At 46.3% G+C, this 9,147-nt stretch overlaps 1 protein-coding gene across 1 annotated transcript; it reads right to left on the minus strand.

The window, feature by feature from the left end:
- TFDP3 (transcription factor Dp family member 3) lies at positions 5,184-6,876 on the minus strand. Its single transcript, NM_016521.3, has one exon. It carries the CDS (start codon positions 6,779-6,781, stop codon positions 5,564-5,566), a length of 1,218 nt encoding a protein of 405 aa, NP_057605.3. The 5' UTR covers positions 6,782-6,876; the 3' UTR covers positions 5,184-5,563.

Here is a 9,147-nt window from a genome sequence, read left to right on the forward strand (position 1 = left end):
AAGTAATTCTGTCTGTCCCTTGAGACCTAAATATGCTACTTCATCAATAAGTGGGGGACTCAATTGTTCTCCCATCAGTGGCTCAGCCTGCACTGAGCAGTCCAGACTTCACTGGCCAGCCTCACATGTGACCAACATTATACTCACAGATGAAAGACACACCTCAACCTACCAATTGATGGTCAACAAGGAGAATCCTTCAGCTGAAAACTAGAACCACTGATTGGAGGGAGAAAAAATAGGGCTGGGGAAACAAGTCCTTCTACCCTGGTTAGAAAGAGAAGAGATAACTGGGTGCTCACACTCTTCTGGTGGGAAATAAGATGGTGGCTGTCATATTGAGACTGACAGGGAACTAGCAGGACCAGAAAGCAGCTAAGATTATGGTAAAACTAGACCTGCCTCTGGGACTACAAGTAAATTATAGCAGGATCAGGAAAATATCTGCTATGGAAGCCTGTTTTGAGTGTTGCATGTATTCTCTGTAAAGCATTTCCTTGGTGTTTTCTCCTTAATTTAAATTTAAAAATATATTTTTTAAGAAAATCAGGCCAGGCCGGTTGAGGTGGCTCACAGCTGTAATCCCGGCACTTTGGGAAGCTGAGGTGGGCAGATCACTTGAGGTCAGGAGTTCGAGACAAGCCTGGCCAACATGGCAAAGCCCCATCTCTACTAAAAAATACAAAAATTAGCTGGGCATGGTGGCAAACACCTGTAATCCCAGCTACTCAGAAGGCTGAGGCAGGAGAATTGCTTGAACACAGGAGGCGGAGGTTGCAGTGAGCTGAGATCCTGCCACTGCACTCCAGACTGGGAGACAGAGCGAGATTCCGTCTCAAAAAAAAAAAAAAAAAAGAAAAGAAAAGAAAAGAAAAGAAAAAGAAAATCAAGCCGGGCACAGTGACTCACACCTGTAATCCAAGCACTTTGGGAGGCTGAGGCAGGCAGGTCACTTAAGGTCAGGAGTTTGAGATAAGCCTGGTCAACATGGTAAAACCCCATCTCTATTCAAAAATACATGCACACACACAAATTAGCCAGGAGTGGTAGTGCGCATCTGTAATCCAAGCACTTCAGGAGGCTGAGGTGGGTAGATTACTTGAGGTCAGGAGTTCAAGACCAGCCTGGCCAACATTGTGAAAACCCTGTCTCTACTAAAAACACAAACAATAGCTTGGTGTGGTGGTGCATACCTGTAATCCCAGCTACTCAGGAGGCTGAGGTACAAGAATCACTTGAACCTGGGAGGCTAAGTTGCAGTGAGCCGAGATCGCGCCACTGCACTCCAGCCTGGGTGACAAGAGTGAGGCGGGAGAGATGGGAGAGGGAAGACAGGGAGAGGGGAAGAGGGGGAGGCGGGGAGAGGGGGAGAGGGGAAGAGGGGGGGGAGGGGGGGAAGGAGAGAGGGGCAGAGGGACAGCCAGTTTCAGCTGTCTCTGAAGGAATCCCCCTAAAATGTGCTCTGTTGGCCAGGTGTGGTGGCTCACACTTTGAGAGGCCCAGCACTTTGAGAGGCCGAGGCAGAAGGATCGCTTGAGCCTGGGCAACATAAATCTGTACAAAATAAAAAAAAAAAAGCTGGGAGTGATGGTGTGTCCCTGCAGTCCCAGCTACTCTGGAGGCTAGGCGGGAGGATTGCTGGAGCCCAGGAGGTCGAGGCTGCAGTGAGCTATGATTGTGCCACTGCACCCCTGCCTGAATGACAGAGCAAAACCCCATCTCAATAAAAAAGGTGGGGCTCTGTCCACACTAGGGCCAGACCATTAAAGAGGAAACACGCGGGGAATCCTAATGATCACAGTAGTAATGACTGAAGTGAGAGACGCTCAAGGGAAAGAACCCAAAGGGCCTGAGTCACCCCACTGGAGCAGCCCTCCTTTGCTTTCTGGCAGATCTGCTTTCCATTTGTTCTGCTTGCCTGCAACCCTGGAGAGCTCTGTGCTTTGTTTTAATAAAATCTCCCCACTCTCTTCCAGTGCCTTCCTGCCTTCTCTAACTACAAAGTTCTTTAAGAAGCCAAGGGAGGCGTTACCTTCTTGTATGCAGTCAGACTTCCACAGGTAAGCCAATCTCTCTCTCTCTCTCTCTCTCTGTGCAATCTCCATTTATGAACATGGGTATATTTCTTTTAAAGAAATATTCTTTGCCTTCAAATATTTTTTTCCTACTAATCAAATCATTTCAGCCTTGTCCCCAATTGAAGTTCTCTCTTCCTGCCCACCAACCCCCCTGAACATGTTCCCAGGCCTTGCCACCATGTAAACCCGTAATCTTTTATACCACTATCCATATTGGTTTATAAAACAGAGGTATGCAACACATTGGAAAGAAAAAATGGCACCTGTCAAATACCAAACCCTATGAAATGCCTGTGCAATTTCACTTTTCACCTAGTAAATATCCAATTATTTTCCAGAATAGCTCTTTCCAGAATTCAAATCTGTTTCCATTAATATTAAAAGTTTAGAGGTCTGGGAGAACAGGAAGTGGCTGATTAAAAGCAGGTGGGGTTCATTATCTGGTTAATCACAATCCAGTATTTCCCACCTCCATTTGCCTCTCCCCCTCCCCCAAAACCATGTTCTGCCTCAGCAAAGGTCACACTCAAATTCTGCAAATAAAAACTTATCCTATAACATTTCAAGAGTGGAGCTGGGTTTTGGAGGGCTTGAGACCAGAATCATTATAAAAGAAATTTATTTCATACCATTTTCGCCAGGAAAGCAAATATCTTCCAAAGCATTGACTATCATTCTATCGCACAGAAAGGATGCCGATTGTGCTTCTTAGAGTCAGGCTCTGCTTGAATGTTAGTAATAGAATATTTAGAGTTGGAAGTGTCTCCTGGAGATTCCCTGCCCATTTATTAGATGGGGAAACTGAGACTGAGAGAAGAGAAGGGATTTGCTGAAATTGTACCTCCAGTTAGTGGCGGAGCTCAGACAAGGACACGTCAGTCCTAGGCATTGCTGGTGTGTGGGAAAAACGCCAAAAGGGCCTGACTGGAATGAACTGCAGTCATTTCTCTGTCTACTACATCTCCATGGGCCACATGTTCATGGCTCAGCTTTTACTTGCTCCCCTGAGAATTGACTCAAAGGCAAAGCCAAAATGGATATTTTAATGCAAAGCACATTAGGAGGCCAGAAGGCAAAAGGAGGTACTGTCTGGGGCTGCTGGCTGCACTTGGCTGGGAAGGCTTTGCTCCAGACCTTAGGAGACTGTTCATTCGGATGTTCTAGGTGCCAGCGCCAAGGGGAAGGCAGGGCAAAGGCTGAACACTGGCTATGGCAGTGCCCACCCCTTCATGGAGTCCACATCTGACAAGCAGTGCAGGTGGAGCTATGTGACATGTCCCTTGGAGGTGAGGAGCAGCCCTCTCAGTGATCCAACGTTCCTCAGAAATTTTTAGGAGCTGAAAGCCTTCCAAAGTGGGGCAACTATGTTAAGGCTTGATGGGGGGAAAAAAAGGCACGTGTTTTGCAGCATGGTTTGGAAAAGTATTCAGACAGGACACAAGGGAACCGATCCCCCAAAAAACAGGGACCAGCCAGTGCCATCACTATACACAGGTGACCTTGGTAGTGTCTTCTCTACTCCCAAGACTACTCGAAACCATGTCTTAGATGTCTTGTATGTTGCTGGTGGGAGTTTCACAGCTTCTGTGGAAACCTGCCTGGTGGTTCCTCAAAAGGCTTAATATAGTGTTACCATATGACCCAGTAATTCCACTCCCAGATACACACATACTCAAGAGAATTGAAAGCAGAGACTTGAACAGATATTTGCATACTAATGTTCACTGCACTGTTACTCGCAATAGCCGAAAGGCAGAAACAACCCAACTGGCCATCAAGAGATGACTGGATAAACAAAAAGTCTATCTATCCATACAATGGAATGTTACCCATAAAAAGGAATGAAGTACTGATCCATGCTACAAGATGGATGAACCTTGGAAACATTTTGCTAAGTAAAAGAAGTCAGTCATGACCACGTGTGGTGGCTCACACCTGTAATTTCAACACTTTTGGACGCTGAGGTAGGTGGATTGCTTGAGCCCAGGGGCTCGACACCAGCCTGGGCAACATGGTGAAACCCCAACTCTACAAAAAATACCAAAAAAAAAAAAATTAGCTAGGTGTGGAGTAGCTGTAGTCCCAGCTACTCGGGAGGCTAAGGTGGGAGGATTGATTGAGCCTGGAACGTTGAGGCTGCAGTGAGCCATGATCTTTCCACTGCACTGCAGGCCTGGGCAATAGAGACCTTATCTCAAAATAATAATCATAATAGCCATCCTAATGGGTGTGAAGTGGTATCTCATTGTAATTAACTACCTGCCCTCTCTTAATGGGTCTTACGGTCTTGCTTTCACAGTGATTATCCTAGTGTCTATTTTTTCTTGGAACTCTGGACAGGTCTGCATATGGTTGGAAAGATGACCCTTTGTGAAACTGTGCTTGAAGAAAGCAACAGCTCCCTCTGCTGTCCCCAGCCACACTTTTGGTACAACTTTCTCATATTAATGAGTCAAGATCTCCCTACCTAGGTTCTAACCCAGTTTCTTCTCACCATACCATGACACTGCTATAGGCTCCACTGCTGTTCTATCTCACCAATTTGAAAAAGGAAAACCTACTCATCTTGCTTCCAGTCAGCAAATGATTCCTGCATAGATAGATGTGCATTGATTGCCGGCTAGGAGCCTTCAGCCATCCTGTCTTAGTTCGTTTTCTGCTCCTATAACAGACTGGGTAATTTATAAAGAAAAATAGATTTATTTGGCTTATGGTTCTGGAGCCTGAGAAGTCCAAAGCCATGGTGCCAGCATATGCTTGGCACCTAGTGAAGACCTTCCTGCTGTGTCCTAACATGGCAGAATGGCAAGCAAGCATTCAAGACAGAGGAACAGGGTTGAAATTATCCTTCTATCAAGAGTCTATTCCTATTATAACAGCATTAATCCATTGATGAGGGCACAGCCCTTATGGCCTAATCACCTCTTAAAGGCCCTACCTCTTTTTTTTTAAGATTGATGGTGTTTATTGTTCTGAAAATAGAATTCTGCCGTTTGCTTGGGGCTCTGGACACTGCAAAACTGAACAAATGGAAAACTCAAGAGTCTTGCTATGCATCAGTGGGGGTGCCATCCAAATCCAAGGCAAATAAACGGCATTCGGTACTCACTGTGCACAAAAGGAGAGCATTTTATTTTCATGGATGTGGATGAAGTACAATTTCTTCAGTAAACTCAGGAAAAACTGTTAAGGGGCAACAATGAACTCTGCATTTAAAGAAAAATAGAAAATGAAAACACAAAATCCTAAAAAGTAAATAAAGATTCTGTGTCAGCACACTGGTATCAAAACACACATCAACAGCACGTCTTAATCATACGGGAAACAATCCTTGCTTATCAGAGGTGCATATCTAAATTCTATAGCTTACCAATATCTTCTTGGGAGTAGGCAAAAAAGAAACAGAAAACCTCACATTAAAAAAAAAAAAAAAGTTTCTTTTCCCTAAATGTTTTCCTGAAGCTGAATCTTAAGGCGAGAGGACGTCAGTCATCCTCGTCATTCTCACTGAGGTCGTCATCGTTGTTGTCCTCCTCCTCTTCCTCCTCGACTGCTGGGGTCTCCACCCTGGAGCCACTGTACTGAGATCCACCGGAGCTTGTGGCCAGCATCCCAATCGCAATGTTGGTCAGGTCACTGGCAGAAAGCCACGTGCCATTAGACCTGGAACCTGCCGTCGTGAACACACCTCCAAAAGTTCCCTGAGCCATTTCTGTCACGTACGGCTCCAGAGCCTTTGGGACCAAATTTCTGGCCATTTTAAGGTCTTCGGCAGAGCAGCTCCCGGACTCTAGCCCAAAAGTCATGCCCATCCACATCAGCACTTCTGTGTCATCGTGGATTTCAAAGGAGCTGTTAAACTTAAACAGATATTCTGATTTGTCGTCGGAGATGCTGCAGTTGATGACGGTCTTCTTGCTACTGCTGATGATGATGAAGGGCACGTGGATGACTGAGTTGGGCAGCGGCCGCTGGCTGACCTGCTCCTCCACATACTGGTTTCTCAGCACCAGGTTCTTGAAAGCAATTTGCTGTAGAATAAGTTGTTGAAGTTCAGACTGTTTCTGCTTTATTCTTTCAAGTCTCTTCTGTCTTTCCACCCGTAAGTTCTGACAGTTCTGAGCCGAGTTGGTGGTCAGACCAATCCACTTGATCTTCTTTTTCTCCCTGGAGATGATATTCATGGCCATCAGCACGTTTAAGGCATCGTAGGTGCGCCGTTTTATGTTTTTCACGTCATAAGCTGACTCGTTTGGTGAGGCGTGGTTGCTGGCAGCTCTGAACTTGGCGACCAGCTCGCCCACCACTTCCTGGCAGGAAGTGGTCCCTTTCCTCTGCACCGTCTCCCAGACCTTCATGGAAAGACGGCACAGGCCCATGCCATTCTTCTCTCCTTTCCTGTTGTGCTGCCCGGCCCAAGGAGGTGAGGAGTAGGAATGCTGGTTCTGAGAGGCAAAGTGAGTGCTGGGTGGGTTTGGGCTTCCTACCACAGGGATGTTTGATGCTGCTGGTCTCTGAGGCATACCAATTACCACTTGCTGGTCAATGTTGACACTGGACTGTCCAAAGGTTTTCGGCAAGAGCTGCTTCCCGAGCGGGTTCACGGTGGAGGTGTGAACGGCCACGGGGCGGCTGGTCTGGTTCTCGTCCATTAAGACCTTGAGTTCTTCGTTAGCTTCAGTGAGACTGACATATTTTGCCATGTTAACAGATTTGGGAAATAAATGCTATAAATGTTCACCTTTCCAGAGAAGAAAAACAATTCTTCCAGGCCGAGTGTAGGGCTGCCGTGAGGTGCGTGGCGTAACGTGCGTGGCGTAACGTGCGTGGCGTAACGTGCGTGGCGTAACGTGCGTGGCGTAACGTGCGTGGCGTAACGTGCGTGGCGTAACGTGCGTGGCATAATGTGTGTGGCGTGTGGTACGTGGTGTGTGGTACGTGGCGTGTGGTACGTGGTGTGCAGTACGTGGCGTGTGGTACCTGGCGTAACATGCGCCACGTGAGGTGCGCAGCAGCAGGGGGGCGGTCCGTGCAGTGCGCCTGCGTGCCTTTTCACGCCTTCAGCCTTTCCTCCTCTGGCCCTACCTCTTAATACTGTTACAATGGTAATTAAGTTTCCAACACATGAACTTTTGGAGGACACATTTAAACCATAGCACATCCTAAAGGGACTGATGAAAATCAGACGTGTAGGCCTCTGCAGGCCCGTCTATCATTTCTTCTCAGCCATTGTCTCACAAGAAGCTGGATCTGGGCTCTTGCAAGGATTATTTCTTCACCTGCTGGTCAAGAAGCTTATTGTGGAAGAATCCAGTTTTTGTCTCTCTACCCAAACAGCTACACTAAGCCTTCCTGAGTAGATAGAGATGGGAAAAAGGAGTTAACAATATACAGTATCATTTATTTGTTGGGCTGTGGTACAATCAATAGACTAAGTCCACAGCCTACACCTCACTTTGGAAGCTACACACATTGCCAATGAGAAAGAAATCTAAAGAGAGAACAAGACAAAGCCCAGCAGAAGCAGAGGCCTGTGGCAGTCTCTTTCTCCCACCGTTGGTCTCAACTCTGCCTTACTCACCAAAAGTCCTAATAACCATGCCACACAGGCTCTGTGTCTTCAGGCCTGCTTCTCTAGTCCACACCAACTTCCTCTAGCACCTCGACTCTGGAAATAATGCATGTGATTGCACACAAGCATACACCTCAGCCTCAGATACACAGAGGTGCTGTCTCACTCACCTCGGGCTGCCGTAACAAAACACCATAGACTGGGTGGCTGAAACAATAGACATTTATTTTCTCACAGTTCTGGAGGCTAGAAGTCCAAGATCAAGTTTCCAGCAGGGTTGGTTTCTGGTGAGGGCTCACTTCCTGGCTTTCAGATGTCTGCCTTCTCACTGTGTCCTCACATGGCAGCAGGGCTTGGAGAGATCTCTTTTGACAAGGACACATCCTATCCTATTTGGGACCCACCCTTATGACCTCATTTAACCTTAATTACCTCCTAAAGACCCTATCTCCAGATACAGTCAAATTGGGGGTTAGGGCATCAACATATGAGTTTTAGTGGGTAGGGGGACAAAATTCAGTCTATAGCATTTGCTAAACAGAACCAGAGCTGGACAGTAGTGAAAGAGTAGTGAAATTGGGGGTTAGGAGTTCAACATATGAATTTTATTGGGTAGGGGGACAAAATTCAGTCTATAGCATTTGCCTAACAGAACCAGAGCTGGACAGTAATAAAAGAGGTAAAACAGATATTATTCAGGAACTATGGCAATGGGGCAAAAAGACCTCAGGATAGAACTGGGCTCAATTCTTTTTTAAGGCAGAGTCTCACTCTGTCACCCAGGTTAGAGTGCAGTGGCACGATCTAGGCTCACTGCAACCTCCGCAATCTCCGCCTCCTGGGTTCAAGTGATTCTCCTGCCTCAGCCTCCTGAATAGCTGGGATTACAGGCTCCCGCCACCACGCCCGGCTGTGAGCCACTGCACCTGGTCTGGGCTCAATTCTAAATGCAGTAAATGCAAGAGGATTTATAGCCAAGGAGCAGAGCAAAGTGGTCAGTGGATGAAAAATTACTAAGAAGATACATCAAGGGTAGATGAATTCTTGTTAAACCAACTTAACAAGATTCTTGCTAAAGGTAGGCTGGGGTGATCAGATATCAAGGGTGGGGAAGAAGAGTGTGATCAGATATTGAAGGTGATTGGATATCAAGAGCAGGGGATTCTCACTAAAGTGACTTAAGCTAAACTCCTGCTAAAACTAGACTTAGCAAGGATGAGGTCAAAAAGAGGGCTTAGAAGAGCCTGTCTAAAGTTTAATTAAGGAGAGAGTTTTAACCCCTCTGGTTCGCCCCAAATTTATGTTTTCTCACATGCAAAATGCATTCATTCCATTCCAACAGTCCCCAAAGTCGTCACTCTTTCCAGCATCAACTCTTAAAGTCTGAAGTCCAAAGTCTCATCTAAATATCATGTAAATTATATATTGGTGAGACTAAGGTAAGATTCATCCAGAGACAAAATTCCTCTCTAGCTGTGAACCTATGAAACCAGACTA

The sequence above is a fragment of the Homo sapiens genome, chromosome X (assembly GCF_000001405.40).
Source record: "Homo sapiens chromosome X, GRCh38.p14 Primary Assembly".
Taxonomy (NCBI): domain Eukaryota; kingdom Metazoa; phylum Chordata; class Mammalia; order Primates; family Hominidae; genus Homo; species Homo sapiens.

Excerpts from the sequence above, each read along its gene's own strand:
- TFDP3 (NM_016521.3), bottom strand. The coding sequence starts at position 6,781 with ATGGCAAAATATGTCAGTCTCACTGAAGCTAACGAAGAACTCAAGGTC.